The sequence below is a fragment of the Homo sapiens genome, chromosome 19 (assembly GCF_000001405.40).
Source record: "Homo sapiens chromosome 19, GRCh38.p14 Primary Assembly".
In the NCBI taxonomy this organism is placed as follows: Eukaryota; Metazoa; Chordata; class Mammalia; order Primates; family Hominidae; genus Homo; species Homo sapiens.
The window spans coordinates 16,887,161-16,907,875 of record NC_000019.10 but is presented as its reverse complement, the minus strand read 5'-3'; the positions used below and the strand labels follow the sequence as shown (position 1 = coordinate 16,907,875).

General features: G+C 57.9%; 2 protein-coding genes and 1 pseudogene across 16 annotated transcripts in view, besides 7 other annotated features; 1 reads left to right on the top strand and 2 right to left on the bottom strand.

Annotated features, from left to right (window-relative positions):
* Positions 1 to 14,925, top strand: part of CPAMD8 (C3 and PZP like alpha-2-macroglobulin domain containing 8) — a 133,860-nt gene extending 118,935 nt beyond the window's left edge. For 5 of the 15 annotated variants that reach the window (XM_011527917.2, NM_015692.5, XM_047438613.1 and 2 more), the window contains 13 exons: positions 759 to 924; positions 3,324 to 3,410; positions 3,514 to 3,650; positions 4,019 to 4,174; positions 4,253 to 4,315; positions 5,013 to 5,227; positions 6,579 to 6,666; positions 8,327 to 8,401; positions 9,882 to 9,987; positions 10,075 to 10,185; positions 11,211 to 11,420; positions 11,550 to 11,700; positions 14,537 to 14,925. In XM_011527917.2, the coding sequence (XP_011526219.1) occupies positions 759 to 924; positions 3,324 to 3,410; positions 3,514 to 3,650; positions 4,019 to 4,174; positions 4,253 to 4,315; positions 5,013 to 5,227; positions 6,579 to 6,666; positions 8,327 to 8,401; positions 9,882 to 9,987; positions 10,075 to 10,185; positions 11,211 to 11,420; positions 11,550 to 11,700; positions 14,537 to 14,768 (1,797 nt within the window). In that variant the 3' untranslated portion in view covers positions 14,769 to 14,925. Of the gene's footprint in view, positions 1 to 758; positions 925 to 3,323; positions 3,411 to 3,513; positions 3,651 to 4,018; positions 4,175 to 4,252; positions 4,316 to 5,012; positions 5,228 to 6,578; positions 6,667 to 8,326; positions 8,402 to 9,881; positions 9,988 to 10,074; positions 10,186 to 10,928; positions 11,016 to 11,210; positions 11,421 to 11,549; positions 11,701 to 12,264 lie in introns of those variants that run through there. The other 10 variants (XM_047438612.1, XM_011527919.2, XM_011527922.2 and 7 more) reach the window with 9 other exon arrangements.
* On the bottom strand, positions 153 to 414 carry RN7SL835P (RNA, 7SL, cytoplasmic 835, pseudogene; annotated as a pseudogene).
* Positions 10,091 to 10,610: a silencer, noted in NCBI's record as "silent region_10318". NCBI's record gives its function as "represses an Ori minimal core promoter by ATAC-STARR-seq in GM12878 lymphoblastoid cells {active_cell/tissue: GM12878}" and the evidence as "EXISTENCE:reporter gene assay evidence [ECO:0000049][PMID:35858748]".
* Positions 10,681 to 10,900: a silencer, noted in NCBI's record as "silent region_10317". NCBI's record gives its function as "represses an Ori minimal core promoter by ATAC-STARR-seq in GM12878 lymphoblastoid cells {active_cell/tissue: GM12878}" and the evidence as "EXISTENCE:reporter gene assay evidence [ECO:0000049][PMID:35858748]".
* Positions 10,951 to 11,030: a silencer, noted in NCBI's record as "silent region_10316". NCBI's record gives its function as "represses an Ori minimal core promoter by ATAC-STARR-seq in GM12878 lymphoblastoid cells {active_cell/tissue: GM12878}" and the evidence as "EXISTENCE:reporter gene assay evidence [ECO:0000049][PMID:35858748]".
* Positions 13,412 to 13,461: an enhancer, noted in NCBI's record as "active region_14252". NCBI's record gives its function as "activates an Ori minimal core promoter by ATAC-STARR-seq in GM12878 lymphoblastoid cells {active_cell/tissue: GM12878}" and the evidence as "EXISTENCE:reporter gene assay evidence [ECO:0000049][PMID:35858748]".
* Positions 13,562 to 13,661: an enhancer, noted in NCBI's record as "active region_14251". NCBI's record gives its function as "activates an Ori minimal core promoter by ATAC-STARR-seq in GM12878 lymphoblastoid cells {active_cell/tissue: GM12878}" and the evidence as "EXISTENCE:reporter gene assay evidence [ECO:0000049][PMID:35858748]".
* Positions 14,312 to 14,451: an enhancer, noted in NCBI's record as "active region_14250". NCBI's record gives its function as "activates an Ori minimal core promoter by ATAC-STARR-seq in GM12878 lymphoblastoid cells {active_cell/tissue: GM12878}" and the evidence as "EXISTENCE:reporter gene assay evidence [ECO:0000049][PMID:35858748]".
* On the bottom strand, positions 15,270 to 18,877 carry F2RL3 (F2R like thrombin or trypsin receptor 3). Its single transcript, NM_003950.4, has 2 exons — positions 18,578 to 18,877; positions 15,270 to 18,303 (listed from the first exon to the last, which is right to left on the bottom strand). The coding sequence occupies exons 1-2, from the start codon at positions 18,684 to 18,686 to the stop codon at positions 17,255 to 17,257; spliced, it is 1,158 nt and encodes a 385-aa protein (NP_003941.2). The 5' UTR covers positions 18,687 to 18,877; the 3' UTR covers positions 15,270 to 17,254.
* Positions 17,603 to 18,202: an enhancer, noted in NCBI's record as "H3K27ac-H3K4me1 hESC enhancer chr19:17000485-17001084 (GRCh37/hg19 assembly coordinates)". NCBI's record gives its function as "activates a minimal SCP1, AML or CMV promoter by ChIP-STARR-seq in naive H9 embryonic stem cells {active_cell/tissue: H9 hESC(naive)}" and the evidence as "EXISTENCE:reporter gene assay evidence [ECO:0000049][PMID:30033119]".

Genomic DNA, 20,715 nt, shown 5'->3' with positions numbered 1-20,715 from the left:
CAGCTCTTTGGGAAGCCAAGGTGGGAGGCTCGCTTGAGCCCAAGAATGTGTGACCAGCCTGGGCAACATAGTGAGACTCCATCTCTACAAAAAATAAAATGTTAGCTGGGCGTGCTGGTGTGCACCTGTAGTCCCAGTTACTGGGGAGGTCAAGGCGGGAGGATCGCTTAAGCCCAGGAAGTGAAGGTTTCAGTGAGCTATGATCGTGCCACTGCACTCCAGCCTGGGCAACAGAGTAAGATGCTGTCTGTATTTTTTTTTTTTTTTTTGAGACGGAGCCTCACTCTGTTGCCAGGCTGGAGTGCAGTGGCGCGATATTGGCTCACTGCAACCTCCAACTCCCTGGTTCAAGCAGTTCTCCTACCTCAGCCTCCCAAGTAGCTGGGATTAAAGGCATGTGCCACCATGCCCAGCTAATTTTTGTATTTTTAGTAGAGATGGGGTTTCACCATGTTGGCCAGGGTGGTCTCAAACTCCTGACCTCAGGTGATCCACCCACCTTGGCCTCCCAAAGTGCTGGGATTACATTGCGCCCAGCCTATTACCAAAAAAAAAAAAAAAAAAAAAAGGCAAGAAAGAAAAGAAAGGAGATGGGGTTTGAAAATTGGGTCTGCAGGCAGTGAGAGCCACAGAAGGATGCAAAGCAAGGGGCTAGGAGTCACCCAGAGCTCTCCTCGGGGATGCCTCAGAAGCCAGTGGGTGGGTGGGATGGGGGCAGAGCAGCCTCCCAGGTTTCACCTTCCCACCCCACCCTGCAGGAGGAGAGAGGCTCCACTGACAAAGCGAGGCACTTCCTGGAGTCTGCTGCGCCCCTGGCCATGGACCCTTATAGCTGTGCCCTGACTACCTACGCGCTGACCCTGCTCCGCAGCCCGGCAGCCCCTGAGGCACTGCGCAAGCTCCGTAGCCTGGCCATCATGCGAGGTAGGTGTCCCTGGCCCTCCCCAGAGGCCACAGCGTCGGGAAGCCCACTGTGGAGTCTGGTAAACAACTCATGAACATATTTATCACAACTGACGAGTCATGTAGTCCCAGCTACTCAGGAGGCTGAGGCAGGAGAATCGCTTGAACCCGGGAGGCGGAGATTGCAGTGAGCAGAGATCGCGCCATTGCACTCCAGCCTGGGTAACAGAGCAAGACTCCGTCTCAAAAACAAAACAAAACAAAACAAAAAACTGATGAGTCGACCAGGCGCGGTGGCTCACGCCTGTAATTCCAGCACTTTGGGCAGATCACTTGAGGCCAGGAGTTCGAGACCAGCCGGGCCAATATGGTGAAACCCCGTCTCTCCTAAAAATACAAAAATTAGCTGGGTGTGGTGGCAGGTGCCTATAACCCCAGCTACTCGGGAGGCTGAGGCACAAGAATCACTTGAACCCAGGAGGCAGAGGTTGCAGTGAGCTGAGATAATGCCATTAGAAAGAAAGAGAAAGAAAAGAAGGAAGGAAGGAAGGAAGGAAGGAAGGAAAGAAAGAAAGAAAGAAAGAAAGAAAGAAAGAAAGAAAGAAAGAAAGAAAGAAAGAAAGAAAGAAAGAAAGGGAAAGAAGGAAGGAAGGAGGGAGAGAAGAGAGAGAGGGAGGGAGGGAGGGAGAGGAAGAAAGGAAGGAAGGAAGGAGAAAGGGAAACTGACGAGATGCCTTTTGCTTGTCAATTGCTTTGTTGATTATAGTATTCATTCATTATCGCATCTGCTAGTGACTTTATTTGAGGAAGTGGCTTGTCCAAGTCACACCAGCCCCAAGCATCACTTTCCTTGCCTGTGAAATCTGGGATGCCAACCCCTCTGGAAGGGGAGTTCTCAGAGAGGGATCCCCAGCAGAGAACGCATCCCCCGCCTCCGGCCAGGCTTCCTGGAAATCATCCCAGGACAGGGGTGCTGGGAGACAGGGGAGGGTTGGGTCTCGCTTCCACCCTTCCCTCCACTTGCTGAGTGAGCCCTGGAAAGCTTTTTTGAGCTGTCAGTCTCCCCACCTACAAAATCATCACCCCACTGGGACTCCAATCCCTGAGCTTTGACTTTCTCAGAATGCCCCCAAACTTAGTCTCCTCCTACTTCACCCAGACCTCCCCACTCCACCCCTACCCCCAGCAGCTGCACTGGGGCTCAGACAGGTTTCTCTGCTTAAGCATTAAGATGCCACCTGAAGAATTGTTTTCATTGCTTCCGAAAGAAAAAAGTTTAAAGAGGATCCAGGGATGGAGTGGGAGGTGGTGGTGGTGGGCTGGTTTCTCTCTGGATTTGAGAGTCTTTACACCTCATGCGAGCTCAGAATCCTTGGAGCCTTTTTCTTTTTTTTTTTTTTTTTCTTTTCTTCCTTTTTTTTTTTTTTTTTTTGAAACGGAGTTTCGCTCTTGTTGCCCAGGCTGGAGTGCAATGGCGTGATCTCCTAACTCAGCCTCCCAAGTAGCCAGGATTACAGGCATGCACCACCATGCCCAGCTAATTTTTTGTATTTTTTAGTAGAGATGAGTTTCTCCATGTTAGTCAGGCTGGTCTCGAACTCCTGACCTCAGGTGATCCGCCTGCCTCAGCCTCCCAAAGTGCTGGGATTACAGGCATGAGCCACCGTGCCTTGCCATTCTTTTTAAATTATTATTATTATTTTTATTTATGTATTTATTTATTTATTGAGACAGTCTCACTCTGTCACCCAGGCTGGAGTGTGGAGTGCAGTGGCTCGGTATTGGCTCACTGCAACCTCTGCCTTCTGGGTTCAAGCAATTCTCCTGCCTCAGCCTCCTGAGTAGCTAGGATTACAGGTGTGCACCACCACACACAGCTAATTTTTGTATTTTTAGTAGAGATGGGATTTCACCATGTTGGCCAGGCTGGTCTTGAACTCCTGACCTCAAATGAGCCACTCACCTCAGCCTCCCAAAGTGCTCGGATTACAGGCGTGAGCCACTGTGCCTGGCCAGAATCTTTGAGCCTTTGCAAGTCGAGTGTGGCTGCTTGGGCACTAAGTAGGAACATCAGGGGCTGGATCAGTACCTGGTCAGGAGGGAGGCTATTGACTAGTGATGTCTGTGTCCAGGAAGGGGAAGGTGGCCTTTGATTAGTGATGTCTGCCAGGGGTAAGGTTGGGTAGCCATTGATTCACGATGTCTGCCAGGGGCACAGGAAGGGCTGGGGCTGCCATAGGTTTGCAGATCTGAGATGGAGCCCCAAGGCCCTTCCTGTTCCAGCTGTCTTCCCCTGATACTCTTCTCCCACTGGGGTCCCACAATACCTTTTCTTTAGACCCCATGCTTGGATGCGCTCCATGGGATGCCAGGCTACACACTGGGTGGGTTATAGCTCTTGACCACTCCTTTCCTTGCAGATGGGGTCACCCACTGGAGCCTGTCAAATTCCTGGGACGTGGACAAGGGCACATTCTTGAGCTTCAGTGACAGGGTCTCTCAGTCAGGTACTGGCCACCCCAGCTCCCGGGTGCCTGCCTTGGCCATACCTCCATGCACTGGGTCCATGTCCCTGTGTCAAAAGTCCCCAGTGGGCCTCTTCCATTGCAGTGGTCTCGGCCGAGGTGGAAATGACAGCCTACGCCCTTCTGACCTACACTCTGCTGGGTGACGTGGCTGCCGCCCTGCCTGTGGTGAAGTGGCTGTCCCAGCAGCGAAATGCACTTGGGGGCTTCTCCTCCACTCAGGCGAGCCGGGCAGGGCCAGAGGGAGGGGCTCAGGGCTGGGTGGGTGGGGTCCCTGCAGTCCTTGTTTTGAGCTCTGAGGTGGCCAGGCAGTCTGGCCCCTTCTCACCTTATGGAGCCCCAAAGAGGGCAGGGGTTGGGGGTGAGGGACAGATGCCCCTGGATCCCCCATGGGAGCCCAGCCTCTGCCTCTGGGGACACACCAACCTGGCTGTCCTGAGGCCCCCAGTGCCATGGGTGTCTGCACTGGGTCCAGTCTCTATTCCAGCCCCGTTGGTGCCTGTTTTAGGCTAGGCTTCCAAGACGGGGTTCAGGGGACCACTGGCCAACTCAGTCTCAGGGTTGATGGCCGTCTCCTCCTCCATCCCCAGGACACCTGCGTGGCTCTGCAGGCCTTGGCTGAATATGCCATCTTGTCCTATGCTGGAGGCATCAACCTCACTGTCTCCCTGGCCTCCACCAACCTGGACTACCAGGAAACCTTCGAGCTGCACAGGACCAACCAGAAGGTTCTGCAGACAGCAGCGGTGCGTGTTCCTGGGATGAGGGTTTGGGGGTTGTTGGAGGAGGGGTCAGCAGGGCCTCACGGTGACTTCTGTCTCCAGATCCCCAGCCTCCCCACGGGGCTGTTTGTGAGTGCCAAGGGGGACGGCTGCTGCCTGATGCAGGTGAGGTTTTGGGGAGCACGAGGTGATCTTGGGCTTGTCCTCCTGTGCCCCATTCCCTCCAATCACACAGTGGAACCCCAGGGACCCCCAGAGGGTTCTGAACTCAGCAGCATGCCAGACTGCAGGACAGGTTTTCAGCCTTCTAATACTGCCCAAGGCAGGTGGCCATGGGTCCTCTCAGGTGTGCCACCCCCACACCTGAGAGGGTCCATTTGACCCTCAGTCCAGGGATCTCTGACCCATTGACTCAAGCAGATTTGCCTAAGGGCTCGAGGTCATTCCCCCTGCTGTGGCCTGGATTTAGCCCCAGACCAGGCTGGGGCAGGTGCATGTCACGGGTTCTGACTGGCAGTCAGAGGGCAAGTTTCCCGCGATGACTCTCGCTAGCCTCCGTTTTCTGATCTCTAAAATGGGAGCTCAGATAACACTGTGGATGAGAGGGAGACCCCTAGACTCAGACATAGCTGAGCACAGCTCTGCACCCCAGATCCATAAAACTGGTCTGATGATTGTACCTACACCCGCTTCAGTGATTTCAAGGCTAAAACGAATAACGGTAGTCTCTAAAACTGTCATGGATGTCATTGTCCTCATAATTCTGGCTGTTCCCACCTCCCCACTGCCCTTCTCCTCCCCTACCCTGCACCTGTTATGGAGGGCCCAGGTCCCTAAGCCTCCATCCTCCAACACCCCCCAGATTGATGTCACCTACAATGTGCCTGACCCGGTGGCCAAGCCAGCTTTCCAGCTGCTCGTAAGCCTCCAGGAGCCTGAGGCCCAGGGACGCCCGCCCCCCATGCCTGCCTCCGCAGCTGAGGGTTCCCGAGGAGACTGGCCCCCAGCTGACGATGATGACCCAGCGGCCGATCAGCATCACCAGGAATACAAGGTGATGCTGGAGGTGTGCACCAGGTAAGGCCACCTGCCCTGCTGGCGTGGGCATCCCAGGAGGGTGCAATGTGCGGAGAGGATGGCCTCCTGGGACCAGGAGGAGCTTCCGGCTCCAGGCACTCAGTGGTGGTTTTTGTTTTGTTTTGTTTTTTTGAGACAGAGTCTCACCCTGTCGCCCAGGCTGGAGTGCAATGGTGCGATCTCGGCTCACTGCAACCTCTGCCTCCTGGGTTCAAATGGTTCTCCTGTCTCAGCCTCCCGAGTAGCTGGGACTACAGGTGCCCGCCATCATGCCCAACTAACTTTTTTGTCTTTTTAGTAGATACAGGGTTTCACCATGTTGGCCAGGCTGGTCTCGAACTCCTGACCTCGTGATCTGCCCGCCTCAGCCCCCCAAAGTGCTGGGATTACAGGTGTGAGCCACCTCGCCCAGCCAGTTTTTGAAATGAATGAAAGAAAAGCAAATGGACACAGAAGACTCCAGTATGGTCGGGGCGGGTGGGCTGGATGGGGACAGCGATGTGTGGCTGGGACACTGGTCCCTGCCCGATAACACCAGCACCAGACCCCTTGGTTTCCAAGAGTGAGCCTGGGACCCGGCCGCAGCGGGCCCTCACCCTAAGAAGATGTTTGTTGCCATGGTGATGGATGCTTGTCACCATGGCGACGATTGGTGGGTGAGTGGTTGCCATGACACTCGCAGCCCATCAGAGCCGCTACCCCGGTAACGGCTGCCCTGACCTTGACTCTCAGCCCGAATGTGTCCAAGTTCCCCATCTCAGAAAGTTCTGGAAATCAGAGTCCAGCTTGGTGCACTCCCCGCAGCTGCAAGCTCCACTCTGAATGTTGGCTTCCTCTTCCTTGTCCCCAACGCCCTATAGGAAGCGCCTGGCATATTGCAGGCTCCAGAGAGTGCCCAGTTACCTCCCTCCCCGCCCCACCATGTTACAGAAGGAGAAACTGAGGCCGGAGCTAGGGGGTTGATTTCCCAGAGTCTCCTGCAGGGTGGCAGTGTTGAAGCACCTGAGCTGTGGCTGCTCTGTGCAACCATGTCCAGAGTGGGGTCGCCAGCTGCTTCCCAGGCTGGGGACACAGAGTGAAGTCCAGGACAGAACACAATGCTTAGTCAAGAGACCTGGTCAGGCCTAGAGCCCTTGGCAAGGCCCTTTCCCTCTGGTCTCAGTGTCCCTGCTGTAAAATAGGTTGACTGAGTTGACCGAGCCAAGGATGTGTGTGCTGTTGGCCTGCCGGCCAGGCCCCAGGGCAGGCTTCCTGGGACATCAGCTGTGTGGGCTCCAGGGGGAGAGGGGACCTTGAATTCCACCTCTGGGCTTGAGCTCTAGGGCCTCTCTCTCTCCCCTGTTGTTGGAAGGTGGCTGCATGCAGGGTCTTCCAATATGGCTGTCCTGGAGGTGCCCCTGCTGTCAGGCTTCCGGGCAGACATCGAGAGCCTGGAGCAGGTGAGGCAGCGCCGGTGAGCAGCGGTGGGCAGGGATCTCTGAACAATAGGTAGGGCTTAGGCACCCAGGGTCAGGCTGGCTGGCAGTCCAGACCTTTGTAAAATGCTATGGGTATTCTTTTCTTCCCTCTCCCTCTCCCCCTCCCCCTTCCCCTCCCCCTCCCCTTTTACCCTGTTTCTCTTTCTTTTTTTTGACATAGTCTTGCTCTGTTGCCCAGGCTACAGTGTAATGATCTGATCTTGGCTCAAATTCCCAGTGGAGCCTTGAACTTCCAGGCTCAAGTAATCCTCCCACCTCAGCCTCCCGAGTAGCTGGGACTACAAGCATGCACTACCATGCCCTGCTAATTTTTGTATTTGTGGCAGAGACAGGGTTTCGCCATGTTGCCCAGGCTGGTCTCAAACTCCTGGGCTCAAGCAATCCTCCCGCCTCAGCCTCACAAAGTGCTGGGGTTACAGACATGAGCCACTATGCCCAGCCCCTTTTTTCCTCCCCTTTCTGGGCAAAAATGGCCCATCTGTCTACTGAGGAGTAGATGGGGTGAGGTGGGGGCTGCTCCAACAGGTGGATCTCCCATGCGGCCACTGTCACTATTATTATTATTATTATTATTTGAGATGGAGTTTTGCTCTTGTTGCCCAGGCTGTGCAATGGCACAATCTCAGCTCACTGCAACCTCCACCTCCCCGGTTCAAGCAATTCTCCTGCCTCAGTCTCCTAAGTAGCTGGGATTACAGGCATGCACCACCACGCCCAGCTAATTTTTTTGTATTGAGTAGAGATGGAGTTTCTCCATGTTGGTCAGGCTGGTCTCAAACTCCTGACCTCGGGTGATCAGCCCACCTCAGCCTTCCAAAGTGCTGGGATTACAGATGTGAGCCACAGCACCGGGCCCACTGTCACACTATTATAAATGCCACCTAGAACTTCAGCAAAGTTCCATGTGCTTTGGCCCTGGGTGGGGAGCCATGGGGTATTCTCAATCCACATTCTGCCGAGACCAGCTGTCACCCTCACAACCCTAAGACAGACCAGTGCCATGTCCCCATTTTGTACAGGAAGGAAGAGGGACATGGGGGTGGGGATTGCTGCCCGGCTCTGGCTGGGGGAGAAAGAGGACCAAGAAGCGAGGGTTTCAGGGACCAAAGGAGGTCTGCAGTGTGGGGAGGGTGGAACAGGAAAGCTGGGCCTATTGTCACCTCCCCTCCAAGGAGGCTGCACGGAGCACCAGGGGATGAGGATGTGGTCAATTCAGAGGCCTTGGAGTGGGTGTGGATTTTTTTAAATCAAAAACTGAAAAAAAAAAAAAAATCCCAGGCTGGGAGGGGAACTTGAACAGTGCAGCTGAGACACCAGCAGGCGGCAGGGCTCAGCCGGGCACCTCTTTGGCCACGGAGAAGCCTGACCTGGGCTTGGGGCTGGGTTGAGGGAGTGTATAGGGAGGCGAGGCAGGTGCTCCCAGCGGGGATAGCCATCCTTGAGCGTCCTCTCCTGGGTGCTGAGAGGCTGGCAGGGCCTGGGGAGCACTGACCAGCACCCAGACCCCAGCCCATGGTAACTTGTGGGCAAGTCCAAGCATCCCACTGACCACTGCCCCCAGGGGATGGGAGAGGAAGCAAGTAGAGAGTCTGAGGACCCTGACTTCTGGCTTCCTCTGCAGCTGCTCCTTGACAAGCACATGGGGATGAAGAGGTATGAAGTGGCTGGACGCCGAGTGCTCTTCTACTTTGATGAGGTACCACCAGCCGGGGTTGGTGGAGGAGGCTTCCCTGGTGTGCATGTTGGTGAGGGTGCACCGGTCACTGCCTGGTGTGGCTCCCTGCAAGTATCTTGTACCATAAAAAAGACACTGGGGCCGGGCATGGTGGCTCATGCCTGTAATCCCAGCACTTTGGGAAGCCGAGGTGGGAGGATCACTTGAGCTCAGGGGTTCGAGACCAGCCTGGGCAACATGGCGAGACCCCATCTTTACAAAAAATATAAAAAAGTGCCCAGGCCCTTTGGCTTACGCCTGCAATCCCATCACTTTGGGAGACTGAGGCAGGTGGATCACCTGAGATCAGGAGTTCAAGACCAGCCTGGCCAACATGACAGAACCCTGTCTCTACAAAAAACACAAAAATTAGCCAGGTGTGATGGCACGCTACTGTAATCCCAGCTATTTGGGAGGCTGAGGCAGGAGAGTCGTTTGAACCTGGGAGGCGGAGGTTGTGGTGACCTGAGATTGTGCCACTGCACTCCAGCTTGGGTGACAGAGCAAGACCTGCAAGACCTTGTCTAAAAAAAAACAAAAAAAAATAAGACACTGGGAGAATAAATTCCAGGCAGAGTTGGCCATGCTGACAGCTCTGTGCCCTCGGCTGATGGCAGTTGGTAGAAAAAGCAGGGAGGGGCCGCAGTGGATATTATCCATCTGTAGGAAGGAGCGAAGCATTGATCCATGCTACAGCATGGATGAACCTCAGAAACATGATGCTGAGTGAAAGAAGCCAGACACAAAAGGCCACAGAGTACATGATTCCATTGACATGAAATGCCCAGAACAGGCAAATCCGTAGAGTTGGAAAGATTTGTGGTTGCCAGGGGCTGGGGGAGTGGGGAGTGAGTGCTGATGGCGATGGGGTTTCTTTGGGGGAGAAAGAAACCGTTCTGTAACTAGACAGAGGTGATGATTGCACAGTATCGTGAATGTGCTGACTCCCACCCACACATGCTCAGCCATGCGTGCACACACACAAAAAGGAGTGGTGTTTCAGAGGCCACCTGAGACGTTTTCCCAGTGGGATGGAAGGACCCAAAGAATAAAAAATGGGACCGAGGCGGATCACTTGAGGGCAGGAGTTGGAGACCAGCCTGGCCAACATGGTGAAACTCCGTCTTGATCAAAAATACAAAAAATTAGCAGGGTGCGGTGGTGGGCGCCTGTTATCCCAGCTACTTGGGAGGCTGAGGCAGGAGAATCATTTGAACCCAGGAGGCCGAGCTTGCAGTGAGCCGAGATCACGCCACTGCACTCCAGCCTGGGCAACAGCGCGAGACTCTGTCTCAGGAAAAAAAAAAAAAAAGAAAAGTAAAAGAAAAAAAGAAAATGGGATCACGTTTCTTCTGTGTTTCACGCGTCCTGGGTATCCCTGAAATCAGCCAGTTCTGGGCCTGAGCTCAGCGCCCCGGGCCTCCTGGCCCGGGTCGAGCCTGCGCCCGCCGCTGCCCCACAGATCCCCAGCCGGTGCCTGACGTGCGTGCGGTTCCGTGCTCTCCGGGAGTGCGTGGTGGGCAGGACGTCGGCGCTGCCAGTCTCCGTGTACGACTACTACGAACCCGGTAGGCCCGCGCGCCCGCACCCCCGGCCCGGCCCGGTCCCTGACCCGTCGCGCCTGCACTTGGTCACCCGCCACCCTCGTCCCGTAGCCTTCGAGGCCACTCGCTTCTACAACGTCAGCACCCACAGCCCACTCGCCCGGGAACTGTGCGCCGGACCCGCGTGCAACGAAGTGGAGCGCGCCCCTGCCCGGGGCCCGGGTGAGTGCGCGGAGCCACTGCCGCCCCCCACCGCGGCCTGCCACACCCCGACTCCCACCCTCGGACGCCAGGGAGGGCTCCCCTGGGGGCTTGGCAGAGGAGGGGCCAACGTAAAGTCAGGAGAACGCAGCATAGAGGTGGGCGGGCGCTCTGCCTGTACGGGGGAGGCGGGGCTGGAGGAGCGGTCAGCGGGGAGGGGCGTGGCTGGGGGAGTGGTAAGTGCGGAAGGGAAGTGGCTGGGGAATGGTCAGTATACTGGGGGCAGGGCCGAGCCAGTGAGGGTGTGGTCACTGTGGTGGGGACTGGGCGCAATGGGTTGAGGGTGGTCAGTGTGGTGAGGGCGGGGTCGAGCGGCGAGGGGGAGGTGAGTGCGGAGGGTGCGGGGTTGAGGGCGGGTGTGTTCAGTGCGGGGGGCGGGGCCGAACGGGGTGGGTGTGGTCAGTGCGAAGGGGACGGGGTTGAGAGTGGATGTGGTTAGTGCTGAGGGGATGAGGTTGCGGTGGGTGTGGTCAGTGCGGGGGGCGGGGTCGAGGGTGGGTGCGGTCAGCGCTGAGGGGCGGGATTTGTGGTGGGTGTGGTCAGTGCGGAGGGGGCGGGGTTAAGAGTGGTCAGGACGGAGGGGGCGGGGTTGAGGGTAGGTGTGGTCACCGCGGAGGGGGCGGGGTTGAGGATAGGAGCGGTCAGTGCGGTGGGGGTGGGGTTGGGGTGGGTGTGGTCAGTGCGGAGGAGGCGCGGCAGGGGACGGGGCTGTTGTTGCAGGGCGGCCCAGACAGGACGCCCTGTCTCCTTTCTCTCCTACAACCGCTTTTTAAAAGTCTGTTTCTGTTTTTGTAAGTATTAGGCAAATACCTGCGTGAAATTCCATAAGGCCAGGGCTCAGGACCTCCCATTAACTGTCGCGCCCCAAGACCCACCGAGGGGGTAGTGGGCCCGGGACCCAGGGACATCTTCCCCACCCCCAGGTTCTGTGGGGGCGCGGGCAAGGTTCAGGGTGGGGGGTCTGTCGAGCCTGCCTCGTCCCCCAGGCTGGTTCCCCGGCGAGTCGGGCCCTGCCGTGGCCCCTGAGGAGGGGGCGGCGATCGCGCGATGCGGCTGCGACCACGACTGCGGCGCCCAGGGGAACCCGGTGTGCGGCTCCGACGGGGTGGTCTACGCCAGCGCCTGCCGCCTGCGGGAGGCCGCCTGCCGCCAGGCCGCGCCCCTGGAGCCCGCGCCTCCCAGCTGCTGCGCCCTCGGTGAGGACCCTACCCCCCGCCTAGCCTCGGGGACACCATCGCTGCTGCTCTGGGCCACGGATCTCCTCCCCTCGGCCCTTGGGTCCCCTCCCCGCCACGCCCTCCCGACCGAGGCCCCCTTCCTTCCAGAGCAGCGGCTGCCGGCCTCGTCGTCCTCCACCTACGGGGATGACCTGGCTTCTGTGGCCCCGGGGCCTTTACAGCAGGACGTGAAGCTGAATGGAGCCGGCCTTGAGGTGGAGGACTCAGACCCTGAGCCTGAAGGGGAGGCGGAGGACAGGTAACAGCTGGGCCCACCCCAGAGATAAGAGACATAGGCTCAATATCTCCCCACCTCCCTCCCCTACCAACCTCCCCCGACGACCTGCCCCGACTCCTCCGCCCCGCCCCGACCCCCCACTGGCAGTGGGAGTGACTCAGGGTCAGAGGCTCAGAGTTCCTGGGGACAAAGTGGGACATTCATCCTCCCTCCACCCTGGCCCACGCAACACCCACCAGCGAACAGCTGTGCGCGGGCGCACGCGCGCGTGTGTGTGTGTGTGTGTGTGTGTGCGTGCGCGCGCGCGCGCGCATACGGGTCAAGGATCCCTTATCCGAAATGCTGGGGGGACCAGCAGTGTTTCGGATTTCAGATTTTTTCACATTTCAGAATGCTTGCATTATATAGTTAGCTAAGGTTCAGCATCCCTAATCTAAAAATCTGAAATGCCCCAATGAGCATTGCCTTTGAGCACGTCAAGTCGCTGCTCAAAAAGACTTGGATTTTGGAACATTTCAGATTTAGGATTTTTGGACTAGGGAAGTTTTGCCTGTAGTTAACAGTGTGCGGTTTCCTCATGGGCAGATTTGTGTAATCTCAACCATAGTCAACAAACAGCCCATCTGCACAGGATCCTTCCAGCTGCTCTTCCATAACTTCATCTCTCCCCTCAACACCTGCAACCACTAAGCCATTTTCCCCCTACCCGTCTGTAATTTTGTTATTTTGAGAATGCCAGGTAAATGGAATCAGAGCGGATAATCTTTGGAGCATGATTCCCTTGCATTCACCTGTGTTGTTTCGTGTATCCATAGTTTATTCTTTTTTTAATCTGGGCTCACTGCAATCTCCGCCTCCTGGGTTCAAGCGATTCTCCTGTCTCAGCCTCCCCAGAAGCTGGGATTACAGGGGCCCGCCACCATGCCCGGCTAATTTTTTTTGTATTTTTAGTAGAGGTGGGGTTTCACCATGTTGGCCAGGCTGGTCTTGAACTCTTGACCTCAGGTGATCCACCCGCGTTGGCCTCCCAAAGCGCTGGTATTGCAGGCATGAGCCACCATGCCAGGCCTATTCTTTTATTTTTCAAACGAGGTCTCACTGTGTTGCCCAGGCTGGAGTGTAGTGGCGTGGTCATGGCTCACTGCAGCCTTGACCTCCTGAGCTCAAGTGATCCTCTTGCCTCAGCCTCCTGAGTAGCTGGGACCACAGGCACACACTACCACCACGCCCAGCTAGTGTGTGTGTGTGTGTGTGTGTGTGTGTGTGTGTGTGTGTTGTAGAGATGGGGTCTCTGTATGTTGCCCAAGCTGGAGTGCCATGGCTGTTCATAGACATGATCATTGTGCACTGCAGCCTCAAATTCCTGGGCTCAAGTGATCCTCCCATCTCAGTCTCCCAAAGCTTTGGGATTACAGGCGTGAGCCACTGTGCCCGGCCTGGAGTTTGTTCTTTTGTATTGCTGGGTAGTGTGCTATGGGTAGCTTTTCGATTTGGTTGGTGGTCTGACACAAGCTACTCCCCTCTTACCGCACATGGACACCCAGAGCCCATCACTGTGGTCCACTGGAAGGGGAAAGGAGGCAGAGTTGTACAGTGCCAGGCCTGGGCCATGTGTCCCCCATCCAGTTGGGGTTCTGCCATCTAAATGAGGAGGTGGCAGCTGGCCTGAGCCCCGTGGAGTTGGGTTCAGGAAAGGGGTGTGGGGTCCCATCCCGAAGTCCTGGCGGCCCCATAGGAATCTTTCTCCTCTCCTGGCCAGTCAGAGCGGCTTCTCTTCCTAACGGCTGCCCTGCTGAGAGCAGGACGACACCATCTGGCTGCATCCTGTCCCTATCAGCCTGTGACTCTGTATGGTGGGTGGGCAGACCTCAGCCCAGGTGACACCTGCCTCTAAATGAACCCAAGGAACAGAATGACAGAGATCTGCCCGTCCCTAGGATGAGACTCTTGGGACCCAGGTGTGGGCTCAGCAGTCACCGGTGTGGTGCAGGGGGGACAGCTGGAGGTCCCTTGGGAGATCCCCCACCTTCCTAGCTACAGCTGGAGCTCCAAGCACCCCAACCCCCCAGCCTTGGAGCTGGGCATCATTTTCCTGGGGCCACGGCAGCTCCCACAGCCTGACATTCTGTTCCCGGGAGAAGAAACATTCCCAGAAAGCACTCGTGTGGCCAAAAGCCTCTTTCTGAGCAAACACGATGTGGACTAAATTAGCAAAACATCCAGCCGGTGGGCAACTTCAAAACGGAACAGGCTGCGTTTCTCTGAAACACAAAGCCCCGGCCTCCCTTTGGGGCACCCAGGACCCCAAATTGCCCTAAGACTGTCCCAGCTCTCGCACCCTCTGCCTTCGCCCCCCGGGGACCTCGGGCTCACATCACAAGGCCCTGCGGGGAAGCAGATGGCTCTCAGCAAATGCACTTTCAGCTTCCGGCTGCCGGGGCTGGGTGACCCCGGTGCTTCCTCACCGTGAGTTCCTGATGTCCTCGTGCCCAGAGGACCAGCCCACTCCCAGGGCCCCCAGGCCCAGAACCTGCCTGCCTTGGGGGGCCCTACCAGCTGCCTGCCACCAGTACCAGCAGACTTTGATTCCCCTTTGTGACCCCTGGCACCTGCTTATGTCTGCATTTGCCCATCTTCTCCGGGGTGGTATTTATTTCAGCCAACACCGCTCAGCCCTGATCTCTGCCAGCACGGAGGCCCCTCGCTGCCTGTGAGATCAAGGTCTGAGGCTGCCCTGGCCGGTGGGTTCCCCACCCCTGGCACCCTACAAGCGACAGGCCCTGTGGCTCCTTCCTCAGCCCGAGGCCCCGTGCCCACTTGCTGTAGAGGATGTTGTAAGATAAAACCTCATCTCCAGGGTCACAGCCGGGCCTCGGCCTCCTGTGAGCAGCGGGAACCTGGAAAGCAGCACCCAGAGCGCCAGCCCGTTCCACAGATGGGGCCAGACTCCGGCCCCTCAGAGACATAGTGGCCGGGTGGTGGGGGCCCACAGGCCAGGGCTTCTGAGCCCTGTCTTCGTCTACAGCCCAGCCTTTCAGAGTGGTGGGGAGGAGGGTTTATGGATGTCAAACACCTGCACCTTGAGATAATCCTACAACCACATGCAGTTGTGGGACCGCAGTTTGGTCCTGGGGACCATTCATACCCACACACCCAGCTTGTGCCTGTGGTTAACATCTCAGAAAACTCTGGTAAATGATCACTCCAGGATATTGACAAGAATACACGTTACTGATCTTACTCACATGTTCTGGGGTGCACATGAACTTTGTGTGTGCATGTGTGTGTGTGTGCATGTGTGTGTCCCGGGCACCTGACACCCCCAGCCCAGGGCTGCCCAAAGTTGGGCTGATCAGAGACATAGACCCAATGAGGAGCCCAACAGTGGCCCTCCAACCCTCTGCCTTGCCCCCATAGTTCATGCCCCAGTGGTCTTTGAAACTGCCCTGTGCCACTCCCTGGAGTGAGCAGCGGTGTCTCTGTGTGTGTGTGTGTCTGTGTCTGTGTGTGTGTTTGTGCACCAGGTGCTGAGGCTTCTCCCCTTCCCCACACACCAGCTGTGTCCTCCACAGCCACTGGCATGGCCCCTTGTGGTCTGTCCCGTGCAAGGCTTACAACCGGCTGCCAACATCCTGGCAGAAGGGAGTTCCAGGTCTGCAGCACCCGAACCCCCCAGCACACACTGTCCACCCCCACCCCCCATTGTCCCACCTTATCCCTGGTGACATTGACAGAAAGTGAAAAGAAGGATCAGCCTGCAGGTGAGAGGAGGGAAGGCGAGGGTCCCCAGCAGTCAGGGGATAGCAGGAGGCTGAGCCGTGCTAGTGATGGGTTTTGGGGAGCAGAGTTGGGGGTGCTATTCTGGTTGCTCAAGAGACATCCCAAAGCCAGAAGCTGGTGGGCATGAGAATGGCCAACCAGGCTCTGGGCCTGGTGGGGCCACAGCATTGGGCACTGAGGATGGGGTGCCCTCAGCCTCCTGGGCAGGAACTTGCAGTGAGTCTCCAGGGAATGCAGCCCCAGCCCCAGCTCCAGCCCCATCTCAGACACCAGTGCGTCGTGGGCTGCATCCAGCCCAGAAAGCCGAGCCAGAGATGCTGGCAGGGCCCAGGAAGCAGAGTTTGATCCTGTTTCAGATTCCTGGGCTGCCCTGACAAAGTGCCACATGCCAGGCAGCTTAAAACAATGAGAGTTTATTGTCTCACAGTTCTGCAGGCCAGAAGTCCAGGGTCAAGGTGGTGGCAGGGCTGGTTCCCTCTGGAGGCTGTGAGGGAGAGCCCGTCCCAGGCCTGTCTCCTGGCTGCTGGTGGCTGTTGGCTGTGCTTGGCATCGTGGCATCCCTTAGTTTGTGTCCGTCCGCATCACTCCCATCTCTGCCTCTGCCGCCACATGGCTTTCTTCTCTGTGTGTCTCTGTGTCCTCTCCTCTTCTCTTTTTTTTGGAGACAGAGTCGCTCTTTCGCCCAGGCTGGAGTGCAGTGGCACCATCTCAGCTGACCGCAACCTCCGCCTCCCAGGTTCAAGCGATTCTCCTGACTCAGCCTCCCCAGTAGCTGGGTGGGCACCTCCCCAGTACAGGTGCCCACCACCACGCCTGGCTAATTTTTGTATTTTTGGTAGAGATAGGATTTCACCATGTTAGCCAGGCTGGTCTTGAACTCCTGGCCTCAGATGATCTGCCCACCTCGGCCTTCCAAAGTGCTGGGATTGCAGGTGTGAGCCACCACACCCACTATCTCTCGTCTTCTTTTTTTAATTTTAGTTTGTTTATTTTTGAGACAAGGTCTTGCTCTGTTGCCCAGGCTGGAGTGCAGTGGTACAATCATAGCTCACTGCAACCACAACCTCCCAGGCTCAAGTGATCCTCCCGCCTGTGCCTCTTGAGTGGCTGGGACTATAGGCGCATGCCACAATGCCTGGTTCATTAAAAAATTTTTTTGTGTGTAGAGATGGGATCCCCCTATGTTGCCCAGGCTGGTCCCAAACTCCTGGCTTCAAGCAATCCTCCATCTTGGCCTCCCAGAGTGCTGAGATTATAGGCGTGAGCCACTGCACCTGGCCGTCACTTTTCGTCTTTTTAAAATTGAATTAAATTAATTAATTAATTAATTTAGAGACAGGCTCTCTGTCACGCAGGCTGGAGTCCAGTGGCGCAATCTCGGCTCACTGCAACCTCTGCCTCCCAGGTTCAAGCGATCCTTCTGCCTCAGTCTCCTGAGTAGCTGGGATTACAGGCGCCAGCCACCAAGCCCAGCTAATTTTTGTATTTTTGGTAGAGATGGGGTTTTACCATGTTGCTCAGGCTGGTGTTGAACTCCTGGGCTCAAGTGATCCATCCGCCTTGGCCTCTTAAAGTGCTGGGATTACAGGCGTGAGCCACCAGGCCTGGCCTCTCCTTATCTTATGAGGACACCACCCACACTGGATGTAAGGCCCACCCTTCTCCAAAGTGACCTCCGCTAGTGACAGTTGTAACAACCCTATTTCCAAATAAGGTCACATTCTGAGGTCCCAGGAAGGACGTGAAGTGGGGGAAGGGACCCTGTTCGACCCAGTACAGCCTTCCCCACTTTGTGTCACTGGAGCAAAGAGGAGTGGGTGCCCATGCCCCGGCTGCCCCCTTCCGCAGAGGCCTTGGAGGCCACGGTGTCCCCCGGCGACCGTTGGAAGAGCCCTGCCCGCACCTTGTCCCTGAACTCGGCCGACACGTAGTAGTAGATGAAGGGATCCACGCAGCTGTTGAGGGTGCTCAGCGCCAGGCTGGGCACGTAGGCACCATAGAGGTTGCCCCAGGCGCTGGGGCTCGGGTCCGAGTAATGCAGCAGCAGCAGCAGGTTGCTGGGCACGAAGAAGGCCACGGCGGAGGCCAGCACCACTGCGGTCAGCCTCAGCGCGTGGCCGTAGCGCCGGCCGCTGGCCGCCAGCGTGTGCAGGGTGGCCCCGTAGCACAGCAGCATGGCCAGCAGGGGCAGGAAACAGCCCAACAGCGCCAGGCAGGTGAAGGCCGGTTGCCAGTGGGAGGCCTGTGCGTCCAGGGGCAGCGCGTCATGGCAGAGCACGCGATCGGAGCGCGCCAGCCGGAAGGTCTGCCGCTGCAGTGTCAGGGGCAGTGCCAGGGCGGCCGCCATGAGCCAAGCAGCCATGCAGAGTCCAAGGGCCAGGCGCCGGCCACGCAGGGCGCGGGCCCGCAGCGGGTGCACCAGGGCCAGGTAGCGATCCAGGCTGACGGCGGCCAGCAGCAGCACTGAGCCATACATGTGACCATAGAGTGCGGCCGTGGCCAGGCGGCAGGCGGCCTCCCCGAAGGGCCAGCGCTGGCCACGCAGGTGGTAGGCGATCCGCGGGGGCAGCGCCAGGGCCAGCAGGAGGTCAGCAGCCGCGAGGTTCATCAGCAGCATGGTGGAGGGCAGCCGAGGTGCCTGCGTGGCCAGCACCCACAGCGCCAGCCCATTGGCCGGCAGCCCCACCACCAGGACCAGCCCATAGAGGGCGGGCACCAGCCTGGTGGGCACCCAGCCCAGAAGCAGTGCCCGTGAGCTGTCCGGGAGCTCCAGGGTGTCACTGTCATTGGCACAGACTTGGCCTGGGTAGCCGCGGGGGGCAGGCAGGATTGAGGGCGTGCTGTCTGGGAGAGAGAGGGGACCTCAGTCAGCCCCTGCCTCGGCAGGTGACGAGAAGCAGCAGGGAGGGAGGTGCTCAGAGCCTGGGGTCTGCCCTGGTGGGAAACAGCTGGACATGACACTCAAGGGAATAGCCCAGCCCTATGGGGTCAGAGACGGGATACAGAGTGGGCTGGGCTGAAGCCCGCAACTTCCCGGCCTCCCCCTCCCCAGCTCCGGGCCCCCAGCTCCATCTCTGATGTAACCCCATCTCTGCACCCCAAAGCCAGGACCACTCACCATCACCACCTCCGGTGCTCCCGCTCTCGTCGTAGACGCTGGGGGTCTGGGTGCCGCCAGACAGGCTGAACCCCAGCACCAGGGGCCACAGGAGCAGTCGCCCCCACATGACTGCACTCAGGCTGCTCTGGGCTGTGGCCTCAGGCTTCCTGCCTCGCCGGACCCTGAGCCCCAGCTTCTGGAGCCGAGGCGGACGAGCAGATCGCGCCGGTAGAGATAAACCAGGAAGGCTGCCCCTGCCCCCGCAGACCCACCAGGGCCGCTTGCCAGCCAGCCCGTGGGAGGACTGGAGTGTGGGTTATGGAGACCGGGCTGCCCCACGTGGCTATATCCAGTGTGGCGCCTCCCAGGGACCCAGGTGCCAGGCCAGCAAGATGCAGGGGGGGGGGTCCCAGCTGCAGCCAGCACCCCCGGTCCCTGACCAGCCCAGGAAGCATCTGCGGTTCAAGTGGCCACTTCCTGCCAGCCGCTCACATCTGCAGCCACTGTTCTCACGACAGCCCTGTCCTCACCCCAATCCCCACGCCCATCACGGGCTCTGGGCCTTTCCTGAAGTCACCCCCCGACTTCCTATCTCTGGTGAGCAGGATAAGAAGAGCCCTGCTAGGCCAGGCACGGTGGCTCACGGCTGTAATCCCAACATTTTGGGAGGCCAAGGCAGGCAAATCACCTGAGGTTGGGAGTTTGAGACCGGCCTGACCAACATGGAGAAACCCCATCTCTCATAAAAATACAAAAATTAGCTGGGCTTGGTGGCAGATGCCTGTGGTCCCAGCTACTCAGGAGGCTGAGGTGGGAGAATTGCTTGAACCCAGGAGGTGGAGGTTGCAGTGAGCCGAGATCTTGCCACTGCACTCCAGCCTGGGCAACAGAGCGAGACTCGGCAAAAAAAAAAAAAAAAACCAAGGATGGGCGCCTCCCAGAGGGTAATAGCGAGGGTCCCTTCAGACCCCCAGAGCAGCACGAGCCCAGCGTCAGGGACTCTGGCTGAACCTCGAGAGCCCCTCAGCATCCTCGGCTGACCCCATACTCACAAGGCACCCCTGTATGAGTGCCTCACTTCACTCTTGCCCAGGGGACACACGGGCATCTGTAGGGGAGACAGTGATGCTGGGGACAGCACCTGCCGAGGACCGGGGGGACTTCGGGGTGTGTGGCTCGCCTGCTCTGACCTCTGACCCTGAGTGAGGTGGCCAGGTTGAAGGGTCCCCAAGCCAGCCTCCAGGGGGCCTCCCTCCTCTAGCCCCAGCACATCCCCACTCCTGGGTACCATTGGATGGGGGCTCATCGGGCAGATGAAGAAACTGAAGCTCGGGGGGGTACCCCTTCCCTCTTCTGCACAAGGCCCCTCAGTGTTGTCCCTCCCTGCCTCAGAGAGGCCTCAACCCGTCGTGCCCTGGGGGAGTCTGGTATGGGTGGTTCTGGCCCCAGTGTGCTCAGCGCTGGGCTACAGGGGATGGGGGACAGGGCTTGGGGGGGTCTGGGAGCAGGAGGGCCTAGTTGGGAGCCATGAGGATTGGGGAAAATAAAATGAACTAGGGATGGGGGAGGGAGGGGTCCAATGTGGCCGTTTCCTGCCTGGGGGAGCCCTAATCTCATCACACACTTGAGCACTCGGGGATCAGCCAGGAAGTGACTGAGCAGAGTCTTGGACAGAGTCAACACCCAGCTCCAGGAGGAGACACTGAAGCCTGGAGAGAGAGTCTAGCTGGGGCAGGGTCTCAGAGGCCCTGCTCCCATTTCTGGGCAGTTTCCATGGCCACCAATGAGAAAATCAGCTTCACGTCAATGACTTGGGGAAAAAGGTGGCTGAGGACACCCTCAGCACACGGAAAACCCACGCCTGGGCTCCCCCCTCCACCGTCTTCTCTGTGAGCAGAGTGGGAAGCTGTGCAGGGGAGGCTGGGCACACCGGCAGTCCAGTGATGCTGGGGCAGGGTGGTTTGAAGATGATGCATCAAAATAGTGATGCACGACCGGGCGCAATGGCTCACGCCTGTAATCCCAGCACTTTGGGAGGCCAGGTGGGTGGATCACGAGGTCAAGAGATCGAGACCGTCCTGGCCAACATGGTGAAAACCCGTCTCTACTAAAAATACAAAAATTAGCCAGACATGGTGGCGCACGTCTGTAGTCCT